Source organism: Homo sapiens, chromosome 1 (assembly GCF_000001405.40).
Source record: "Homo sapiens chromosome 1, GRCh38.p14 Primary Assembly".
Lineage (NCBI taxonomy): Eukaryota > Metazoa > Chordata > Mammalia > Primates > Hominidae > Homo > Homo sapiens.
In genome coordinates this window covers 109053618-109076006 of record NC_000001.11, presented here as the reverse complement: position 1 = coordinate 109076006, position 22389 = coordinate 109053618, and the positions used below count along the sequence as shown (strand labels likewise).

At 44.6% G+C, this 22389-nt stretch overlaps 1 protein-coding gene across 1 annotated transcript, besides 3 other annotated features; it reads left to right on the top strand.

Moving 5' to 3' along the window:
- On the top strand, positions 4-11867 carry TAF13 (TATA-box binding protein associated factor 13). The gene is made up of 4 exons (NM_005645.4): positions 4-86; positions 942-1020; positions 9775-9872; positions 11314-11867. Exons 1-4 carry the CDS (start codon positions 60-62, stop codon positions 11482-11484), a joined length of 375 nt encoding a protein of 124 aa, NP_005636.1. The 5' UTR covers positions 4-59; the 3' UTR covers positions 11485-11867.
- Positions 97-156: an enhancer, noted in NCBI's record as "active region_1433". NCBI's record gives its function as "activates an Ori minimal core promoter by ATAC-STARR-seq in GM12878 lymphoblastoid cells {active_cell/tissue: GM12878}" and the evidence as "EXISTENCE:reporter gene assay evidence [ECO:0000049][PMID:35858748]".
- Positions 761-1747: an enhancer, noted in NCBI's record as "NANOG-H3K27ac-H3K4me1 hESC enhancer chr1:109616882-109617868 (GRCh37/hg19 assembly coordinates)". NCBI's record gives its function as "activates a minimal SCP1, AML or CMV promoter by ChIP-STARR-seq in naive H9 embryonic stem cells {active_cell/tissue: H9 hESC(naive)}" and the evidence as "EXISTENCE:reporter gene assay evidence [ECO:0000049][PMID:30033119]".
- Positions 8069-8872: an enhancer, noted in NCBI's record as "H3K4me1 hESC enhancer chr1:109609757-109610560 (GRCh37/hg19 assembly coordinates)". NCBI's record gives its function as "activates a minimal SCP1, AML or CMV promoter by ChIP-STARR-seq in primed H9 embryonic stem cells {active_cell/tissue: H9 hESC(primed)}" and the evidence as "EXISTENCE:reporter gene assay evidence [ECO:0000049][PMID:30033119]".
- Positions 11868-22389: the final 10522 nt, after the last annotated feature.

The window sequence follows — 22389 nt, the reverse complement described above, 5'->3', positions numbered from 1 at the left end:
AGTAGTGTAACCAGCTGGGAGCCAGCCGGCAGGACGCTGTGAGTTGGCGTGCTAGTGGGATGGCAGATGAGGAAGAAGACCCCACGGTGAGTGACCGTCTCTGTCCAAAACCTGTCTTTTCTTCACTCCTTCGGGCTCAGTAGCGGAGGCAGAGTTCAGGATCGGGTCTGCTTGCCTTAGTGAATTCAGCGGACAGAGTTCGGGGACTTCACGCCCTAAGGATTGATCATTTTAGAAAGTGGGGAAGGACATGAAGGAAGAGTAGGTTTTGTGACCCCTTTCCCCTTGATTTTGGTCTGTATTTGCCAGACACTGAAACACGTACAGAATCATCAGAGATCAAAACTAACATCTATTAGCGCGCACTATGAGCCAACAGTTCAATTGTTAACAAAACTGTACTTACTGTGAAGTAATGGGAAAAGAATGCATTGAAAGTCAGACAGCCTGGATTTCAAAATTTCCATTCTCTCTGAGCAAGTTATTTAACTTTGAACATCAGTTTTCTTTTTATAAAATAGGGTTACGGGCTTACTTAAGGAACGTTTTTAGCACTGTATAAGCAAATGCATAGGAAATATTAGTTTTGCTTACTACAAAGTCTACAAAGGTAGACTTTGATTCAGTATCAACTGTTTAACAGTAACAGTAGTAATAGGCCACCTTAGTTGTTTAAAAATAAAACTTATGGTCATTGGAACTCTTACAAGTAGAAGCAGTAGGATTATTAGTTAGGAACATTGTAGAAGCCATTTTTGCATGAGTTGGAAGTTGGACTAGATACATAGGCTCCTTCAATGCTAAGGTTTCGTGGTTTTTTTTTTTGCTGCTTCCTTTGGCTTTCTGGCCTATCTGTTGAAAAGGAAAAAAAAATGTCATTATTAAAATATCAAATGCAAGGCAATTATTTGACATTTCTATATATACATTTTAACTTCTAGTTTGAGGAAGAAAATGAAGAAATTGGAGGAGGTGCAGAAGGTGGACAGGGTAAAAGAAAGAGACTTTTTTCTAAAGAATGTAAGTAGTATTTGACAATGATTTTGTTATAGATGATGAAAACTTTTGGACATGTCCTTTCAAAGTAGCTTTATTGCTTTGAATGTTTCCCTGTAGGGATAATATTCTCAGACTAGCCTATCAAATTCTGTTTAACTTTTGAATCAGATAGTACCAATCCTAACCCCAATTGTGTGTGTGTGTATAAATTGCTTTTTTTTTTTTTTTGAGACGGAGTCTCGCTCTGTCGCCCAGGCTGGAGTGCAGTGGCGCAATCTCTGCTCACTGCAAGCTCCGCCTCCCGGGTTCATGCCATTCTCCTGCCTCAGCCTCCTGAGTAGCTGGGACTACTGGCGCCGGCCACCACGCCCACCTAATTTTTTTTGTGTGTTTTTATTTTGCTTTATTTTATTTTTTTAATTTTTTTAGTATTTATTGATCATTCTTGGGTGTTTCTCAGAGAGGGGTATTTGGCGGGGTCATAGGACAATAGTGGAGAGAAGGTCAGCAGATAAACATGTGAACAAGGGTCTCTGGTTTTCCTAGGCAGAGGACCCTGCGGCCTTCCTCAGTGTTTTGTGTCCCTGGGTACTTGAGATTAGGGAGTGGTGATGACTCTTAACGAGCATGCTGCCTTCAAGCATCTGTTTAACAAAGCACATCTTGCACCGCCCTTAATCCATTTAACCCTGAGGGGACACAGCACATGTTTCAGAGAGCACGGGGTTGGGGGTAAGGTTATAGATTAATAGCATCCCAAGGCAGAAGAATTTTTCTTAGTACAGAACAAAATGGAGTCTCCTATGTCTACTTCTTTCTACACAGACACAGTAACAATCTGATCTCTCTTTCTTTTCCCCACATTTCCCCGTTTTCTATTCGACAAAACCGCCATCGTCATCATGGCCCGTTCTCAATGAACTGTTGGGTACACCTCCCAGACAGGGTGGCGGCAGGGCAGAGGGGCTCCTTACTTCCCAGATGCGGGCGGCCTGGCGGAGGCGCTCCTCAGTTCCCAGACGGGGTCGTGGCCGGGCAGAGGCGCTCCTCACCTCCCAGACGGGGTGGCGGCCGGGCAGCGGTGCTCCTCACCTCCCAGACGGAGTAGCGGCCGAGCAGAGGCGCTCCTCACATCCCAGACGGGGCGGCCGGGCAGAGGTGCTTCCCCACATCCCAGGGGATGGGCAGCCAGGCAGAGACGCTCCTCAATTCCTAGACGGGGTGGCAGCCGGGCAGAGGCTGCAATCTCAGCACTTTGGGAGGCCAAGGCAGGCAGCTGGGAGGTGGAGGTTGTAGCGAGCCGAGATCACGCCACTGCACTCCAGCCTGGGCAGCATTGAGCACTGAGTGAGCGAGACTCCGTCTGGAATCCCGGCACCTCGGGAGGCCGAGGCGGGCAGATCACTCGAGGTCAGGAGCGGAGACCAGCCCGGCCAACACGGCGAAACCCCGTCTCCACCAAAAAATACAAAAACCAGTCAGGCGTGGCGGCGCACGCCTGTAGTCAGGCAGGGAGGCTGCAACGATCCCAGATCGCTGCAGTACAGTCCAGCCTCGGCAACAGAGGGAGACGGTGGAAAGCGGGAGACGCAGACGAGGGGGAGGGGGAGGGAGAGCTTTTTTTGTATTTTTTGTAGAGACGGGGTTTCACTGTGTTAGCCAGGATGATCTCGATCTCCTGACCTTGTGATCCGCCTGCCTCGGCCTCCCAAAGTGCTGGGATTACAGGCGTGAGCCACTGCACCCGGCCTATAAATTGCTTTTTAAGTGAGCAAATGTAATTAGTGTTTTAATTTAGGGCAGAAGAACATACCTCCATTAGTTTTCCTCTTGCCTTTACAGCAGTAGAGAGGCTTCTTTGACTGTAAGCCACAGGTAATAATGGATCCTGCAACAGGTGTTGAGGGAGAGTAGCAAGTGAGTTGGGGCTTGGGCTTTGGACTAAGGCCCTGAACAAAGTAAGAAGGTGGTGAACAGCTGGGTGCAGTGGCTCACGTCTGTAATCCCAGCACTTTGGGAGACTGAGGCGGGTGGATCACTGGAGGTCAGGAGTTCGAGACCAGCCTGGCCAACATGATGAAACCCCGTCTCTACTAAAAATACAAAAATTAACCAGACGTGCTCGCTTGAACCCAGGTGGCAGAAGTTTCAGTGAGCCAAGATTGCGCCACTGCACTCTAGCCTGGGTGACACAGCAAGACTCTGTCTTAAAAAAAAAAAAAAAAAAGGTGGTGAATCGTGTAAGGCATTATAGTGACATGGAGGCTAGATGCAGTGGCTCACGCCTGTAATCCCAGCACTTCGGGAGGTCAAGGCAGGCGGACTGCTTGAGCCCAGGAGGTCAAGACCAGCCTGGGCAACATAGTGAAACCCTCTCTCTACAAAAAATACAAAAATTAGCAGGGCATGGTGGCATGCCCCTGTAGTTCCAGCTACTCTGGAGGCTGAGGTGAGAGGATGGCTTGAGCCCAGGAGGTGGAGGTTGCAGTGAGCCCAGATTGCACCACTGCACTCCAGCCTTGGTGACGAAACCAGACCCTGTGTCCAAAATAAATAAACAAATAAAATAAACAATAACATGGAGATTATAATGTATTGATTCTCCATCCTACCCCCTCAGTAGACGGTTTTGACCCTTTTTGGCAACACGAGGAAGGGAGAGCTGCTACTAATACTGATGATCCAGGCCAAGCCCTGGAACACAGCATGAAAATGTGCTCTCCATCTCCCAGTCCTGGGTCCTTTATGTAAAGTTATGTCTAAGTATTGAGAGATGAGGCCGCACAGATTTATGAATATGATTTATTTAGGCTGGGTTATATGTGAGCAGTTCCCAAATGCCCTTGAAACTACAGGGTCAGTATATATATATATATATATATATATGTGTGTATATATATATATATATATATATATATATATATGTGTGTGTATATATATATATATATATATATATGTGTGTGTATATATATATATATATATATATGTGTGTGTATATATATATATATATATATATATATATATATGTGTGTATATATATATATATATATTTTCTTTTTGAGACAGAGTCTCACTGTTGTCAGTCTGGAGTGTAATGGCGCAATCTTGGCTCACTGCAGCCTCTGCCTCCTGGGCTCAAGCGACTCTCCTGCTTCAGCCTCCTGAGTAGCTGGGACTACAGGCACATGCCACGACGCCTAGCTAATTTTGGTATTGTTAGTAGAGACAGGGTTTCATCATGTTGGCCAGGATGGTCTTGATCTCTTGACCTCATGATCCGCCGTCTCAGCCTCCCAAAGTGCTGGGATTACAAGCATGAACCACCGTGCCCAGCTTCAGCGTCAGTGTATCTTTTTTAAGAAAAATTATTTTCTTAATTTTTATTTATTTTCTTAGAGACAGGGTCTCACTCTTCTGTCACTGGGGCTGGAGTACAGTGGCATGATCATAGCTCACTGCAACCTTTAACTCTTGGTGTCAAGTGATCCTCCCACCTCAGCCTCCTGAATAGCTGGGACTATAGGTGCATGCCACCATGCCCAGCTAATTTTTTTTTTTTTTTTTCCTGAGATGGAGCCTTGCTCTGTCACCCAGGCTGGAGTGCAGTGGCGTGATCTCGGCTCACTGCAACCTCCACCTCCCAGGTTTAAGCAATTCTCCTGCCTCAGCCTCCCAAGTAGCTGGGATTACAGGTGTGTGCCACCATGCCCGGCTAATTTTTTGTATTTTTAGTAGAAACGGGTTTCACCATGTTAGCCAGGCTGGTGTTGAACTCCTGACCTCAGGTGATCCACCCCACTCGGCCTCCCAAAGTGCTGGAATTACAGGCGTGAGCCACCGTGCCTGGCCACACCCAACTAATTTTTGTATTTTCAGTAAAGACAAGTTTCACCATGTTGGCCAGACTGGTCTCAAACTCCTAGGCTTAAGTGATCCTCCTGCCTCAGCCTCCCAAAGTGCTAGGATTACAGGCATGAGCCGCCAGACACTGTTTTATTTTTTAAACATCCAAATCCTTTTCCATATTTTGTTTCCTCACTAATGCTGACCATTTCTTATTTCATTTCTCTGATGCTCCTTATACCATTATGTGGTTTTTACTTATTAGGTCAGCATAAGAAGGGGATCCTTGTACCAGAGCATCCCAGAGTGATGTTCAGTCGGTTGTTAGCAAAGACCTTTGTTCCACTGAGATTACTTTGTGATGACAGGAATTTGTAATCTTCAGGCTTCTCCTTATCTTACCTGAATATTCATAGAAGTTACTGACGAAAGATCTATTCTCCTGAACCTTTAAAAAAAAAATTTGGGGGGGACTGGGTACGGTGGCTCATGCCTGTAATCCCAGCACTTTGGGAGGCCAAGGTGGGAGGATCACTTGAGGTCAGGAGTTCAAGACCAGCCTGGCCAACATGGCGAAACCCCGTCTCTAATAAAAATACAAAAATTAGCTCGGCGTGGTGGTGCATGCCTATAATTCCACTACTCAAGGGCCGGGCACGGTGGCTCATGCCTATAATCCCAGCACTTTGGGAGGCTGAGATGGGCGGATCATGAGGTCAGCAGATCCAGACCAGCCTGGCCAACATGTTGAAAACCCATCTCTACTAAAAATAGAAAAATTAGCTGGGCGTGGTGGCCTGCACCTGTAGTCCCAGCTACTTGAGAGGCAGAGGCAGGAGAATCGCTTGAACCCGGGAGGCAGAGGTTGCAGTGAGCCGAGATCACACCACTGAACTCCAGCCTGGTGACAGAGAGAGACTCCGTCTCAAAAAATAAAAATAAAAAAAGAAAGCGTCAAGGTTTTGAAAGATGAAAAAGTCAAGGAACTATCGGATTCGAGGGAACTAAGGAGGCATGACAACTAAATAGTATGGGAACCTGAAACAGAAAAAGGACATTGGTGGAAAAACTTGTAAAATCTGAATGAAGTCTGTACCTGTACCGATGTTAATTTCTTAGCTTTGATGACTCCCTATGGTTGTATAACATGTTAACATAAGGGGAAGCTGGATATAGGGCATATGGGAACCCTGTACTATTTTTGCAACTCAGCTGTAAATCTAAAATTATCTTTTTTTTAAAAAGGCAAAAAAAAGTACAGAATCCAAAACAGAACGATAGGAACTATTGGCTCCTGTGTTTGTTTTTTTACTCCTGTTTCTGGACCTAAAGACTCTTGCCAGTGTAAAACCCTAGGGATATGTCTATCTCAGGCTGGTTTCCAAGTCACCCTTTTCTTCTGTAGGCCTGGTCTACTTTCTTCTCTTTGTACTTCTACTAGTTTTTACTTCTTCTAAATAGAGGAATTATTCTTAATTTACTCATTTCTTCCTTTAGAAGTATTCTATGAGTATCTTTTTTAAAAAAAAAAACTTAGGTACAATAAATTGTGCAAGTCTTAAGTGAACAGCTTGCTGAATTTTATGTATGCTATACAGTCGGCTCTCTATGTCATGGGTTCTGCATCCATGGATTCAACCAACCTCAGATGGAAAATATTCAGAAAAAAAAACTGTGCCTCTATTGAATATGTATAGACTTTTTTCCTTGTCACTATTCCCTAAACAGTATAGTATAACAACTATTTACATAGCATTTACATTGTATTAGGTATTGTAAGTAACCTAGAGATGATTTAAAATATACATAGGATGTATTTAGCTTATATGCAAATACTATGCCATTTTATATCTGGGATTTGAGCATCTGCAGATTTTGGTATCCACGGGAGGTCCTGGAACCAAGCTCCCAAGGATACTAAGGGACAACTGTATACATGTGCGCACACACACACACACACACTCACACACTTGTAATCACTACTAAGATCAAGATACAGAACACTTCCAGCATTTGACAGCATTTCTTACCATTTACATATACCCCTTTGATAATCTGATAAAAGTTATAATTATTCCCAGAAAAATGCCCATGTACAGATAATGTATAAAATTTTTCCGTATGATTTCAGGGTAGTCTCAAGGACTTCTTTTTTTATTTTTTGAGGCAGAGTCTCCCTCTTTCGCCCAGGTTGGAATGCATTGGCATGATCTCAGCTCTCCGCAACCTCTGCCTCCTGGGTTCAAGCTATTCTCCTGCCTCAGCCTCCCAAATAGCTGGGATTACAGGTGCGTGCCACCACGCCCCCCTAATTTTTGTATTTTTAGTAGAGACGGGGTTTCACCATGTTGGTCAGGCTGGTCTCAAACTCCCGACCTCAGGTGATCCGCCCACCTTGGCCTCCCAAAGTGCTGGAATTATAGGCGTGAACCACCGCGCTGGCCTTCAAGGACTTCTTAAAGCTTGTCTCTGGACTGGGAGTTTATAGGCGATAGGATAAGAACCTCTGTGGATCTCAGCTGGGTGTGGTGGCTCACACCTGTAATCCTAGCACTTTGGGAGGCCAAGGCAGGAGGATTACTTGAGTCCAGGAGTTCAAGACCAGCCTGGGCAACAAGGTGGGACCCTGTCTCTACGAAAAAATAAAAATAAATAAATAGTTAGAAACCAGTTCAAAAACTGCCTAGGCAACATAGCAAGACCCCTGTCTCTAGAAAAAATTTTAAATGGCTGGGTGTGGTAGCTTAGGCCTGTAATCCCAATAATTTGGGAGGCCAAGGCAGGCAGATCACTTGAGGCCAGGAATTCAAGACTATCTGGGCAACGTGGCAAAACCCTGACTCTACTAAAAAATACAAAAAAATTAGCTGGGTGTGGTAGCGCATGGCTGTAATCCCAGCTACTTGGAGGCTAAAGTTTGAGAATCTCTTGAATCCGGGAGGTGGAGGTTGCAGTGAGTTGAGATCGTGCCATTGCACTCCACCCTGGGTGACACAGTGACACTTCTGTTTCAAAAAAAACCCCACATATTAGCCAGGCATAGTGGCATGTGTCTGTAGTCTCAGCTGCTCACGTGAGCCAGGGAGGTTGAGGCTGCAGCAAGCTGTACTGCAACACCACTCCAGCCTGGGCGACAGAGCCAAGACTGTCTCAAAAAAGGAGAGCAAAAAAAAGAATTCACACGGATCCTGTCTGCCCTAAACTACAACTACCAACAAGTGCGATGCTGTTGTGGGTATGAGTAAAGACGCGAACCAGATCAGCTGGGTTCAAACTCAGGTTCCATCTCTTACTAGCTTTGTGACCTTGGGTAAATCAGTTACTGCAGTGCTTTAATTTTCTCATCTATAGAATGGGGATAATCAATAGTTTCTACCTTAAAGGATCATTGTGAGGATTAAATGAGTTATATATGTAAAGGACTTAAGACAGTACCTGGCATATAATAAGGGCTATATATGTTTTATCTTTTGGCAGTTATTTTTATTTGTCTGTATTAGACTTCTCTCTTATTATTTTTGAGACACAGTCTCTCTTATTATTATTATTATTTTTGAGACACAGCCTCCCTCTGTCACCCAGGCTGGAGTGCAGTGGCGCATTCTCAGCTCACTGCAACCTCTGCCTCCTGGATTCAAGCGATTCTCATGCCTCAGCCTCCCGAGTAGCTGGGATTATAGGCATGTGCCAACACCCCCAGCTGACTTTTGTGTTTTTTTTTTTTTTTTAGTAGAAACAGGTTTTCACCTTGTTGGCCAGGCTGATCTCAAACTTCTGGCCTCAAGTGATCTGCCTCAGCCTCCTGAAGTGCTGGGATTACAGGCGTGAGCCACCATCCAGGCCTACGCCCAGCTAATTTTTGTTTTTTATGTAGAGACAGGGTTTCGCCATGTTGCCCAGGCTTGTCTCAAACTCCTGAGCTCAAGCAGTCTACTTGCCTGGGCCTCCCAAAGTGCTGGGTTTACAGGCGTGGGCCACTGCACCCGACCTAGACTTATCCTTTGCATTTCCTATGGTTTCTTCAGATGAAGCCTGAAAGGGCTTTGCTGCAGTTGTATTGATCTAGGAAATGTCAAAATTCCTTGTAGTAAGCCCTCTGCTTTCTCATTTTGAGTACCCTGTTTCTTCCTATAAGAACAGATTTGGGGCTGGGCGCGGTGGCTCACGCCTGTAATCCCAGCACTTTGGGAGGCTGAGGCACGCAGATCACCAGGTCAGATCATCGAGACCATCCTGGCTAACACAGTGAAACCCCTTCTCTACTAAAAATACAAAAAATTAGCCGGGCGTGGTGGTGGGTGCCTGTAGTCCCAGCTACTCGGGAGGCTGAGGCAGGAGAATGGTGTGAACCCAGGAGGCGATGGAGCTTGCAGTGAGCCAAGATGGTGCCACTGCACTCCAGCTTGGGCGACAGAGCGAGACTCTGTCTCAAGAAAAACAAACAAACAAACAAACAAAAAAAGTATTTGGAGAACTGTCTCTCATGTCTTTTCCCCTATGGTAATATCAGTAAAGAGTCTGCCGTTTTTCCAACGCCCCACTGCCATGCCCACACACAAAAACCACCTCCAAAAAAGGCTAAGCTGTTGCTGTCTGTCCTGTCCTTTGCCAGAGTTTCCTACTTAAAGGTGTTCTGCTGGGGGCAGGGACTGGTAAGTAGATGCTAGAGATTAGGAAAAGACTGTTTACCTTAGGGTTCAGTAGGTGGGAGGAAGGAAGAGTTTTGCTGGAGGCTACGTGGGAACAGTTGGTCATCAGACTGTTCTTAAACCTTTTACACAAGAATCCATACTTGGAGATAACAAATACGATGTAAATATGTTTTCATACCAATATTATCTATAACTTGGTTCATTTCTACTTTATTTTTTTAAAGTATCAAATTGTTAAATCTGTAAAAGTAAACAAAAGTAAGTGATTGTTCTTTTACAGTGCGATGTATGATGTATGGCTTTGGGGATGACCAGAATCCTTATACTGAGTCAGTGGATATTCTTGAAGATCTTGTCATAGAGTTTATCACTGAAATGGTAAGATTCTTTCCTAACTGGTCTTAGTTAATTGAAGAATAGATTTGAAATATTAAACTTTAGGTAAGACTAGAACTTATGGCATCCCTTTGAAATAAGCTATCCATTTGAGTGCTTGTTTGCAGAAGTTATTGGTTACTATTTATCATTGAGGATGGAGGTTATACATGTATATTCTATCCCCCCTTCTTCCTTTTGTTTTTTTTTTTTTTTGAGATGGAGTTTCGTTCTTGTTGCCCAGACTGGAGTGCAATGGCACGATCTTGGCTCACTGCAACCTCCGTCTCCCGGATTCAAGGGATTCTCCTGCCTCAGCCTCCGAGGAGCTGGGATTACAGGCATGCATCACCACACCCAGCTAATTTTGTATTTTTAGTAGAGACAGGGTTTCTCCATGTTGGTCAGGCTGGTCTCAAACTCCCAACCTCAGGTGATCCGCCAGCCTCGGCCTCCCAAAGTGCTGGGATTACAAGCGTGAGCCAACGCGCCCAGCCTCTTGCATTTTTTATAAGGACATAATTATAAAATCCTTGAATAAAATAAAAATATTATCCATAATACCATTATCCAACATAGGTTTTTTTTTTTCCCCTCCTTTTCCAGTATTTAAAGATACGCAATTTTTTGTGTGTGTGTGTCTGTGTGTGTGACAGGATCTCACTCTGTTGCCCAGGCTGGAGTGCAGTGGCATGATCATTGCTCACTGCAGCTGAGACCTTCCGGACTCAAGTGGTCCTCCCACCTCAGCCTCCCAAATACCTGGGACTACAGGCACATGCCACCATGCTTTGCTGATTTTTGAATTTTTTGTAGAGACAGGGTCTCACTATGTTGCCCAGGTTGGTCTTGAACTGCTGGGTTCAAGCAATCTACCCCCTCAGCCTCCCAAAGTGCTGGATTACAGGCATGAGCCACTGTGTCTGGCTCAATGCCGTATTATTAAGTATTTAGCTTCTATTTTTTAATCATTAGAAATAATGCTGTGATAGGTCTTTGATTTTGCACAGGTGAGTATATAATGACAGGATGAGATAGAGTTATTTGATTTTTAGAAAACCCACCAATATTTATTGGGTATTAAGATAGAGGAGGACACAAAGCATAAATGAAATGGGTGGGTACACAAAATTATAAAATTATTTTATATAAATGAAGACAAAATCTACATATATCAAAAAACAAAAAAGGAACAATAAAGTTGACAGCTTTCATGTCCTTAAGATTTTTTTTAAAGTGCCTGTGAAGCATAAAGGAGAACATTGCTAATAATCCAGTAGAAAATAGACAAAGGACATGAGTAGAAAGATAATTCACAAATGAATAGCCATAATAATAATAATAAGAGAAAATCTTCTACCTCACTTGCAATTAATAAATGCAAATTAAAACAGTAAAATATTAGATTTAAAAAAGTTAAATGTAATATGTTTCTTTGTAATAGACTCACAAGGCAATGTCAATTGGAAGACAAGGTCGAGTACAAGTTGAAGATATCGTCTTCTTGATTCGAAAGGACCCAAGGAAGTTTGCCAGGGTTAAAGACTTGCTTACTATGAATGAAGAATTGAAACGAGCTAGAAAAGCATTTGATGAAGCAAATTATGGATCTTGACACTTTTTGTAGTTTCCGAAAATTACCATCTGGGGAAACCATATATAATAATTGTATATTTTCTAAAGTAAGATTCTGATATCTAGCCATGTAAATGAAAGATGGAGAAACACAAAGTTTTCAGCCTTTATTTTTATGCCTTTGATTTTAGGGTGATATTGGTGCATGTAATTGCCTGCCTTTATATTACCATACTTGAATTACTTACTGGGTTTTAATGACCACACATAAGTCAAAGTACCTTGCAAACCATGCCGTTGTTCTGACTTTTGACTATTTAAAGGATAAAGTAGTATTTAATGTGTTAGGTATGTTTATGCCCTTGTAAGCTATACTGTAGCTTTTTTTTTTTTTTTTTTTTTTTTTGAGATGGAGTCTCACTATGTTGGCAGGCTGGAGTGCAGTGGCGTGATCTTGGCTCACTGCAGGCTCCACCTCCCGGGTTCAAGTGATTCTCCTTCCTCAGCCTCTCGAGTAGCTGGGAAGTACAGGCGCCTGCCACCACGCCTGGCTAACTTTTTGTATTTTTAATAGTGACGGGGTTTCACCATGGTAGCCAGGATGGTTTTGATCTCTTGACCTCGTGATCCACCTGCCTCGGCCTCCCAAAGTGCTGGGATTACAGGTGTGAGCCACCGCGCCTGGCCTACTATAGCTGTTTAATATGTGAAATCTAAATGGCATTTTTGACTTGACAGCTCAGACTTGTACTTCATGTATTCAGAAGTTTTTAGACAACAATTAGTTTATTGTCTAGTTCATTATTAAAGATAATGAACTAGGCCGGGCGTGGTGGCTCACACCTGTAATCCCAGCACTTTGGGAGGCTGAGGCGGGCAGATCACTTGAGGCCAGGAGTTCCAGACCAGCCTGGCCAACATGGCAAAACCTCACCTCTACTAAAAATTAAAAAATTAGCCAGGCATGGAGGCATGTGCCTGTAATCCCAGCTACTTGGGAGGCTGAGGCAGAAGAATTGCTTGAACCCAGGAGGCAGAGATTGCAGTGAGCCGAGATGGCGCCACTGCACTCCAGCCTGGGCAATAGAGTGTGACTCTCAAAAAAACAAAGATAATGAACTGGTTTGCATTTCTTTTAAAGAGATGATAGAGGAAAATATAGTTTTTTGTAAGAATGTTTATCTCTCTTAAAAGATAATCTTTTAATTTTCTTCAGATAACAAGTTATTATTATTTTTTAAGAAAGCAAGTTTCACGGGCCGGGCGCGGTGGCTCACGCCTGTAATCCCAGCACTTTGGGAGGCCAAGGCGGGCGGATCACGAGGTCAGGAGATCGAAACCATCCTGGCTAACACGGTGAAACCCCGTCTCTACTAAAAATACAAAAAATTAGCCGGGCGCGGTGGCAGGCGCCTGTAGTCCCAGCTACTTGGGAGGCTGAGGCAGGAGAATGGCGTAAACCTGGGAGGCGGAGCTTGCAGTGAGCCGAGATCGCACCACTGCACTCCAGCCTGGGCGACAGAGCGAGACTCCGTCTCAAAAAAAAAAAAAAGAAAGCAAGTTTCACATGAATAATGCTGTGTTGGAAGGCTTTTTGATTTAAAATCTTTTCGGATTTATAACATCCTGTTAAGTTTTAGGAGAACCCGTTTTCCCAGAGCAGATTCAAGCTTCTAAAAATAAATGCTTTCAGTAGCAGGAATGGCATTGTTTAAAAAGCTGATGGCAGGGTAAGCATTTGGGTTAGTGTTTTATTAACATATTTGTAAGTACTTGTTCATTGTGGAAATGTGTCCTTGACTAAAACCATACGTGGCTATGGAAACCATGTTTGTAGTTCTGAATACACAGGTTTTGTGTGTATTTACTCTATGTATTAAATTATTATTGCCCTTAGTTTAAAGTAAGGATTACAATTGGATTTAAGTAGATCACTGAATGTTATTGTTTATGAAACTTAACTTTTTGTATGCTGCTTATAAACATGATCTATAAATCAGTGCTTGGGAAAATTTTACTTTCTTAATCTACTGATACAGGAATAAAATATGAACAATTAAACAGGTTGATCCTTGAATCTGACTGATTTGTGACTTTTTTTCCTCCCAGAATATTATGCCCATTACTGGTAATATGATAATTCTTGCTGCTTAGTCTAGCTGAAAATTTTTTTTATTTCAGTGAGTATCTGGGTGAATCTTTTCATTTAAAAAAGCAGGACTGGGCCGGGCGCGGTGGCTCAAGCCTGTAATCCCAGCACTTTGGGAGGCCGAGGCAGGTGGATCATGAGGTCAGGAGATCGAGACCATCCTGGCTAACACGGTGAAACCCCATCTCTACTAAAAAATACAAAAAAACTTAGCCGGGTGTGGTGGCGGGCGCCTGTAGTCCCAGCTACTCGGGAGGCTGAGGCAGGAGAATGGCGTGAACCCGGGAGGCGGAGCTTGCAGTGAGCCAAGATCACGCCACTGCACTTCAGCCTGGGGGACAGAGCGAGACCCCGTATCAAAAAAAAAAAAAAAAAAAAAAAGCAGGACTGGGCACCATGGCCCATGCCTATAATCCCAGCACTTTGGGAGGCCTAGGCAGGAGGATCTCTTGAGCCCAGGAGTTGGAGACCAGTCTGGGCAACATAGAGAGACCCCATCTCAACTAAAAATCAAGGCCAGGCACAGTGCCTCACACTTGTAATCCCAGCACTTTGGGAGGCCAAGGCAGGTGGATCACTTGAGGTCAGGAGTTCCAGACCAGCCTGGCCAACATGGTGAAACCCTGTCTCTACTAAAAATACAAAAAAATTAGCCGGGCGTGGTGGCATGCCTGTAGTCCCAGCTGCTTGGGAGGCTGAGGCGAGAGGATTGCTTGAGCCCAGGAGTTGGAGACCAGCCTAGGCAAGCCCCATCTCTGTAAAAAAAAAAAAAGAGCCAGGCACAGTGGTTTCCGCTTGTGGTCCTAGCTACTCAGGAGGTGAGGTGGGAGAATCACTTGAGCCTGAGAGGTCAAGGCTTCAGTAAACTGCTCACTCTGTCACCCAGGCTGGAGTGCAGTGGCACAATCACTGCTCACTGCCTCGACCTCCTGTGCTCAAATAATCCTCCCACCTCAGCCTCCCGAGTAGCTGGGACTACAGGCATGCCTGGCTAGAGAACCTATTTCACTGTGTTGCCCAGACTGAGTGGGGCTTTGCGTTGACTATTTTAGGTTGCAAGTGATATAACTTAACTCAATACTATTAATAGCATAAACAAGGAATTTATTGGCTTACCTAACCGACACATGGGAAAGGGGATGGAGCTGAATTTAGGGTTGACTGGATCTAAGTACTTGAGAAGCAAGACTGTCTCTCTGTCTTTTATCCTAATTTTGGTTTTATTCTAAGAGTGGCAAATGAACATGATGGCCAGCAGTTCTGGGGTTCCCTCCTTACAACTCCAAATTGAAGAAGCTGCTTTACTTCGTAATAGAGAAAATTCCAAGCAAGGATTATGAGGATCCGAGCTCTGCTTATTTTCTTCCTGGACCAGTCACTATGGCCAGGAAGAAGTTGTACTATAGCCCGGATCTCTTGCCCCACTTCTGGTAAAAAAGAGCTTGGAATGGGATTGGGATACTAGATACTGCTATTAGCAAAAAGGGGAAAGAGGCTCGGCGGGCTGACTTGATGCCTGAGCTTACTTATTAACTTCAAATTCTGGTAGTAAGGTGGCATGGCTGTCTTCCAGTATTTAGAGCTGCACTGTGTAAATGGTAGCCACTAGCCACATATGGCTGTTTACATTTTAAAATGAAAAATTCAGCTGGGTGCGGTAGCTCACGCCTGTAATCCCAGCTTTTTAGGAGGCCAAGACAGGCAGATCACTTGAGGTCAGAAGTTCAAGACCAGCCTGGCCAACATGATGAAACACCATCTCTACCAAAAATACAAAAATTAGCCGGGTGTGGTGGTACGTGCCTGTAATCCCAGCTACTCGGGTGGCTGAGGCAGGAGAATTGCTTGAACCCAGGAGGCAGAGGCTGCAGTGATCCGAGATCGTACCACTGCACTCCAGACTGGGCAACAGAGTGAGACTCTGTCTCAAAAAATAAAATATTTAAAAAATGATAATAAAATGAAAAATTCACTTCCTTAGTTGCGTTTGCTATATTTCAAGTGCTCAAAACCCTTATGGTAAGTGGGTACAGCATTGGACAGTGCTGATATGGAACACTGCCATCATCACAGAAAATTCTTTTGGACAGTGCTGATCTGGAGTATATATAGGTGCTCTCTCCTAAATTAATTCACTTTTTTTTAAACTTCCTATGGAAAATCTCAAGTATACACAATAATAGTGTAACTAGCCCCCAGCTTCAACAAGTAACCAACTTTTTGCCAATTTGTCCTATCCCCCTACCTTTAAATAATTTTCTTATTTTTAATTTTGGACCTTGGTTTTAGAACCCTTACCTTTTTTAAGGTAGGGGGGCAGTATTATTTTAAAGCAAATCTGGCTGGGTGCGATGGCTCATGCCTATATTCCCAAAACTTTGGGAGGCCAAGGCGAATGGATCACCTGAGGTCAGGAGTTCAAGACCAGCCTGGCCAACACAGTGAAACCCTGTCTCTAATAAAAATACAAAAATTAGATGGGCATAGTCGCGGGAGCCTGTAATCCCAACTATTCGAGAGTCAGGCAAAAGAATCCCTTGAACTCGGGTGGTAGAGGTTGCAGTGAGCCAAGATCGTGCCATTGCACTCCAGCCTGGGCAACAAGAGTGAGACTCCATCTCAAAAAAATAAAAAATAAAAACAAAAGCAAATCCCAGACATCCTTGTATCATTTCATCTATAAATGCTTCAGTACATATCTTTTTTTTTTTTTTTTTTTGTGACATAGTCTCACTCTGTCACCCAGGCTGGAGTGCAGTGGCACGATCTTGGCTCACTGCAACCTCCACCTCCTGGGTTCATGCGATTTTCCTGCCTCAGCCTCCCGAGTAGCTGGGATTACAGGCATCTGCTACCATGCCCAGCGAATTTTTGTATTTTTAGTAGAGATGGGGTTTCACCATGTTGGCTAGGCTCGTCTTGAATTCCTGACCTCAAGTGATCCACCTGCCTCAGCCTCCCAAAGTGTTGGGATTACAGGTATGAGCCAATGTGCCTGAGCTTCAGCACATATTTCTAACAAAGTTTAAAAAGCCCACATATTATTACCATATCCTATCAAAAATTAACACTAATTCCTCAATATTCCATCTAATACCCAATTCCTGTTAATTTTTTTATTTTTTTGAAATAGGGTCTTGCTCTGTTGCCCAGGCTAGAGTGCAGTGGCATGATCATGGCTTACTACAGCCTTTGCCTCCTGGGTTCAAGCAGTCCTCCCACCTTAACCTCCCAAGTGGCTAGGACTACAGGTGTGCAGCACCACAACTGGGTAATTTTTAAAATTTTTTTGTAGAGAGACAGGTCTCACTATGTTGCCCAGGCTGGTCTTGAACTCCTGGGTTAAAGCAATCCTCCTGCCTTAGTCCTGCCAAAGTACTGGAATGATTGCAGGCGTGAGCCACAGTGCCTGATGCCAAATCCTGGTTTAAATCTTGCTGATTTGTCTCAACATATCTTTTTTGAGTGTGTGTATTAATCTCAATTGTTACTGTAACAAATTACAGCTCATTTAGTGACTTAACACACATTTATTATTTAACTAGTTCTCTAGGTAAGAAGTTTGACCCTAGCTCGGATCACGAGGTCAGGAGATCGAGACCATCCTGGCTAACACAGTGAAACCCCGTCTGTACTAAAAAATACAAAAAAATTAGCCTGGCATGGTGGTGGGCACATGTAGTCCCAGCTACTCGGGAGGCTGAGGCAGGAGAATGGTGCGAACCCAGGAGGCAGAGCTTGCAGTGAGCCGAGATTGCGCCACTGCACTCCAGCCTGGGCAACAGAGTGAGACTCCACCTCAAAAAAAAAAAAAAAAAGTTTGACCCTAGCCTTACTGTGCTAAAATCAAGGTGCTGACACAGTTGTGTTCCTTTCTGGATGTTCTAGGAGACACCTGTTTGCTTGCCTTTTACAACTTGTAAAGGCTACATTTCTTGGCTCATGTTACCCTTCTTCAAAGCTAGCTAGCAATGTTGCATCTCCCTGGCCTGTGACTCCAGCTGGTAAGGATTCTCTGTGATATTGGACCCACCTGGATAACCCAGAATACTCTCCCCATTTCAAGGTTCTTAAGTTAATCATGGAAGCAAAATCTCTTTTTACCATGTCAAGTAACATATTCTCAGGTCCTGGGAATTAGGATGTGGACTTTTTTTTTTTTTTTTTTTGAGATGGGGTCTCGCTTTGTGACCCAGGCTGGAGTGATCATAGCTCACTGCAGCCTCCAACTCCTGTCAAGCAATCCTCCTGCCTCAGCCTACAGAGTAGCTAGGGCTATAGGCAACACACCACTATGCCTAGCTAAAGGAAGTAGACATCTGTGAGGGGTTATTATTCTGCTTCCCACATTGTCTTTGAAGTAGGATCTAAACAAGGTGTCACCCATTGCATTTGTTTGGTATGTCTAAATTTCTTTTAATCTATAGTAATTCCCTCCAAGCTTTGTGGCTTTTTGTTGTTGTTGTTAGAGACAGGGTCTTGCTCTGTCACTCAGGCGGGAGTGCAGTGGCAGGATCATAGCTCACTGCAGCCTTGAACTCTTGGGTTCGTCATCCTCATGCCTCAGCCTCCCAAGTAGTTAAGACTACACTGCACCTGGCTAATTTTTTTCTTAATTTTGTAGAGATGGAGTCTCACTATGTTGCCCAGGCTGGCCTTGAACTCCTGTCCTCAAGCCATTCTTCTGCCTCAGATTCCCAAAGTTCTGGGATTATAGGCATGAGCCACGGTGCCCAGCCTCCAATTTTATTGAAGCACTCTCTCTTTTTTTTTGAGACCGAGTCTCACTCTGTTGCCCAGGCTGGAGTGCAGTGGCGTGATCTTGGCTCACCACAACCTCTACCTCCCAGGTTCAAACAATTCTCCTGCCTCAGCCTCCTGAGTAGCAGGGATCACAGGCAGGTGCCACCATACCCAACTAATTTTTGTACTTTTTTAGTAGAGACAGGGGTTTCGCCATGTTGGCCAGGCTGGTCTCAAACTCCTGACCTCAGGTGATCCACCTGCCTCAGCCTCCCAAAGTGCTGGGATTACAGGCGTGAGCCACCATGCCCGGCCGGAAATGGTGTTCTTGAGTAAAAACTGTAATAGTGTAAGTGTAGAAATTTTAAAGTGGAGGAAAGAGCTCACTTGGCCTGTCATCAGTGGAGAAAGGTGCTGCCTGGAGAGTCATCTGGCCATTTTCCAAGAGACTTTGGGAGGTTGCATTACTTGAATGAGTATACTATAGTCCAGAGCCAGAGTTTGATTTGCAGCATTGCAGGCTTAGAAACTGATTTCATCAGCAAATAGCACATTCATCTCTGTGGGTGCGCTCATAGAATCCAAACTTATAAGACCAATGTATGAAAACGGATACCAGTTTATAGATGTAAGTAAAACTTGCACCTATATGATCAGCACATTCTTCCTTCTCTAGACATACACATGTAGGAAATGAAAACAAAATTATGAGGGTGAATGACAGTGAGAGGAGTTACATGAATGCATCGTCTAGAGCAGTGGTCCCCAACCTTTTTTGTACCAGGGACCAGTTTTGTGGAAGACAGTTTTTCTACGGACTGGGGTGAGGGTGATGGGGGGATGGTTTCGTGATGATTCAAGCGCATTACATTTATTGTGCACTTTATTTCTATTATTATTACATTGTTTTATTTTTTTACACACACGCCCATTTAATTATTTTTATTTTTATTTATTTATTTATTTATTTTTGAGATGGAGTCTCACTCTGCTGCCCAGGCTGGAGTGCAGTGGGGCGATCTTGGCTCACTACAACTTCTGCCTCCCAGATTCAAGCGATTCTCCTGCCTCGGCCTCCTGAGTAGCTGGAATTACAGGTGCCCGCCACCACACCCGGCTAATTTTTGTATTTTTAGTAGAGACGGGTTTTCACCATGTTGGTTAGGCTGGTCTCGAACCCCTGACCTCGTGATCCGCCCGCGCTGGCCTCCCAAAGTGCTGGGATTACAGGCGTGAGCCATTGTGCCCTGCCTAATTTTTTTTTTTCTTAAAGAGATGAGGTCCTGCCATGTTGCCCAGGCTCATCTTGAACTCTTGGACTTAAGCCATCCACCCGCCTCATCCTCCCAAAGTGCTGGGATTACAAGTTTGAGGCACCGCACCCAGCCTAAAACCAAAAACTTTTTAAAGCCCTGCCTACATCACAGAACACACCCATTTCTCTAGGTCTGATTTTCTTACAGTCCCCATGTTTTCCTTCTTGCCACAAATAGATACTGGAAGTGTGGATGATCAGGGAACAAAGTGTTAAATGTGTTGTTGAAGGCTGCTGCTTTTCCTGGGCCCTTGTAAATGACTACATGAGTTATTCACACCATTAAATTATGCGATAGGGCAGTCTGGGCCCTATCTCTACAAAAATAAGAAATAAAATTAGCGAGGTGCAGTGGCACGCCCTTGGAGTCCTAGGTACTTGGGAGGAGTGGTCCTAGATGGGAGGATCACTTGAGTCCAGGAGTTCGAGGTTACAGTCAGCTATGATTGCACCACTGCACTCCAGCCTGGGCAACAAAAGGAGACCCTATCTCAAAAATAAAAAAAATGAAAAAATCTGCCCAGTCCTGTAAATCTAGCACCTCTGGAAGCCAAGGTGGGAGATTCATTTGAGGCCAGGAATTCAAGATCAGCCTGGGCAATATACTGAAACCCTGTCTCTTAAAAAAAAAGAAAAAGGCCAGGCGCAGTAGCTCACACCTGTAATCCCAGCACTTTGGGAGGCCGAGGCGGGCAGATCACCTGAGGTCAGGAGTTTGAGACTAGCCTGTCCAATATGCAGAAACCCCGTCTCTACTAAAAATACAAAATTAGCCAGGCATGGTGGCACACACCTGTAATCCCAGGTACTCGGGAGGCTGAGGCAGAAGAATTGCTTGAACCCAGGAGGCGGAGGTTGTGGTGAGCTGAGATCGCGCCATTGCACTCTAGCCTGGGTAACAAGAGTGAAACTCCGTCTCAAAAAAAAACAAAAACAAGGCCGGGCGCGGTGGCTCACGCCTGTAATCCCAGCACTTTGGGAGGCCGAGGCGGGCGGATCACGAGGTCAGGAGATCGAGACCATCCTGGCTAACACGGTGAAACCCCGTCTCTACTAAAAATACAAAAAATTAGCCGGGCGAGGTGGCGGGCGCCTGTAGTCCCAGCTACTCGGGAGGCTGAGGCAGGAGAATGGCGTGAACCCCAGGGGGCGGAGCCTGCAGTGAGCCGAGATTGCGCCACTGCACTCCAGCCTGGGCGACAGCGAGACTCCGTCTCAAAAAAAAAAAAAAAAAAAAAAAAAAAAAAAAAAAAAAAAACAAAAACAAAAACAAAAAGAAACACAAAAATTATGGGATTGGTTCAAGGAAAACGTTTTCATATATTGAGTATTTATTAAACACCTATTGTATCTGAGACAGCATAGGTATCATTTTGTTATGTGGTATCCAGATAAGTGGAGTAAGTGGAATTCTTTTTTTTTTTTTTTTTGAGACGGAGTCTCACTCTGTCACCCAGGCTGGAGTGCAATGGCATGGTCTCGGCTCACTGCAAGCTCTGCCTCCTGGGTTCAAGCGATTCTCCTGCCTCAGCCTCCCGAGTAGCTGGGACTACAGGCTTGTGCCACCACACCTGGCTAATTTTTGTATTTTTATTTTTGTATTTTATTTGTATTTTATTTTTGAGACGGAGTTTTGCTCTTGTTTCCCAGGTTGGAGTACAGTGATGCAATCTTGGCTCACTGCAACCTCCACCTTCCGGTTTCCAGCGATTCTCCTACCCAGCTAATTTCTGTATTTTTAGTAGAGATGGGGTTTCACCATGTTGGCCAGGCTGGTCTCAAACTCCTGACCTCGTGATCTGCCTGCTTCGGCCTCCCAAAGTACTGGAATTACAGGCATGAGCTACCGCGCCTGGCTTAATTTTTGTATTTTTAGTAGAGACAGAATTTCACTATGTTGGCCAGGCTGGTCTCGAATTCCTGACCTCATGATCCACCCGCCTCGGCCTCCCAAAGTGTTGGAATTACTTTGGGCGTGAACCACCACGCCTGGCATTTTTTTTTTTTCCAAGACAGAGTCTTGCTCTGTCACCCAGGCTGGAGTGCAGTGGTGCAACCTCGGCTTGCTGCAACCTCCACCTCCCAGGTTCAAATGATCCTCCTGCCTCAGCCTCCTGTAGCTGGGACTACAGGGGCACGACATCATGCCCAACTAATTTTTTTTTTTTTAGTATTTATTGATCATTCTTGGGTGTTTCTCAGAGAGGGGGATTTGGCAGGGTCATAGGACAATAGTGGAGGGAAGGTCAGCAGATAAACATGTGAACAAGGGTCTCTGGTTTTCCTAGGCAGAGGACCCTGCGGCCTTCCTCAGTGTTTTGTGTCCCTGGGTACTTGAGATTAGGGAGTGGTGATGACTCTTAAGGAGCATGCTGCCTTCAAGCATCTGTTTAACAAAGCACATCTTGCACCGCCCTTAATCCATTTAACCCTGAGGGGACACAGCACATGTTTCAGAGAGCACGGGGTTGGGGGTAAGGTTATAGATTAACAGGATCCCAAAGCAGAAGAATTTTTCTTAGTACAGAACAAAATGGAGTCTCCCATGTCTACTTCTTTCTACACAGACACAGTAACAATCTGCTCTCTCTTTCTTTTCCCCACATTTCCCCCTTTTCTATTCGACAAAACCGCCATCGTCATCATGGCCCGTTCTCAATGAGCTGTTGGGTACACCTCCCAGACGGGGTGGCGGCCGGGCAGAGGGGCTCCTCACTTCCCAGACGGGGCAGCCGGGC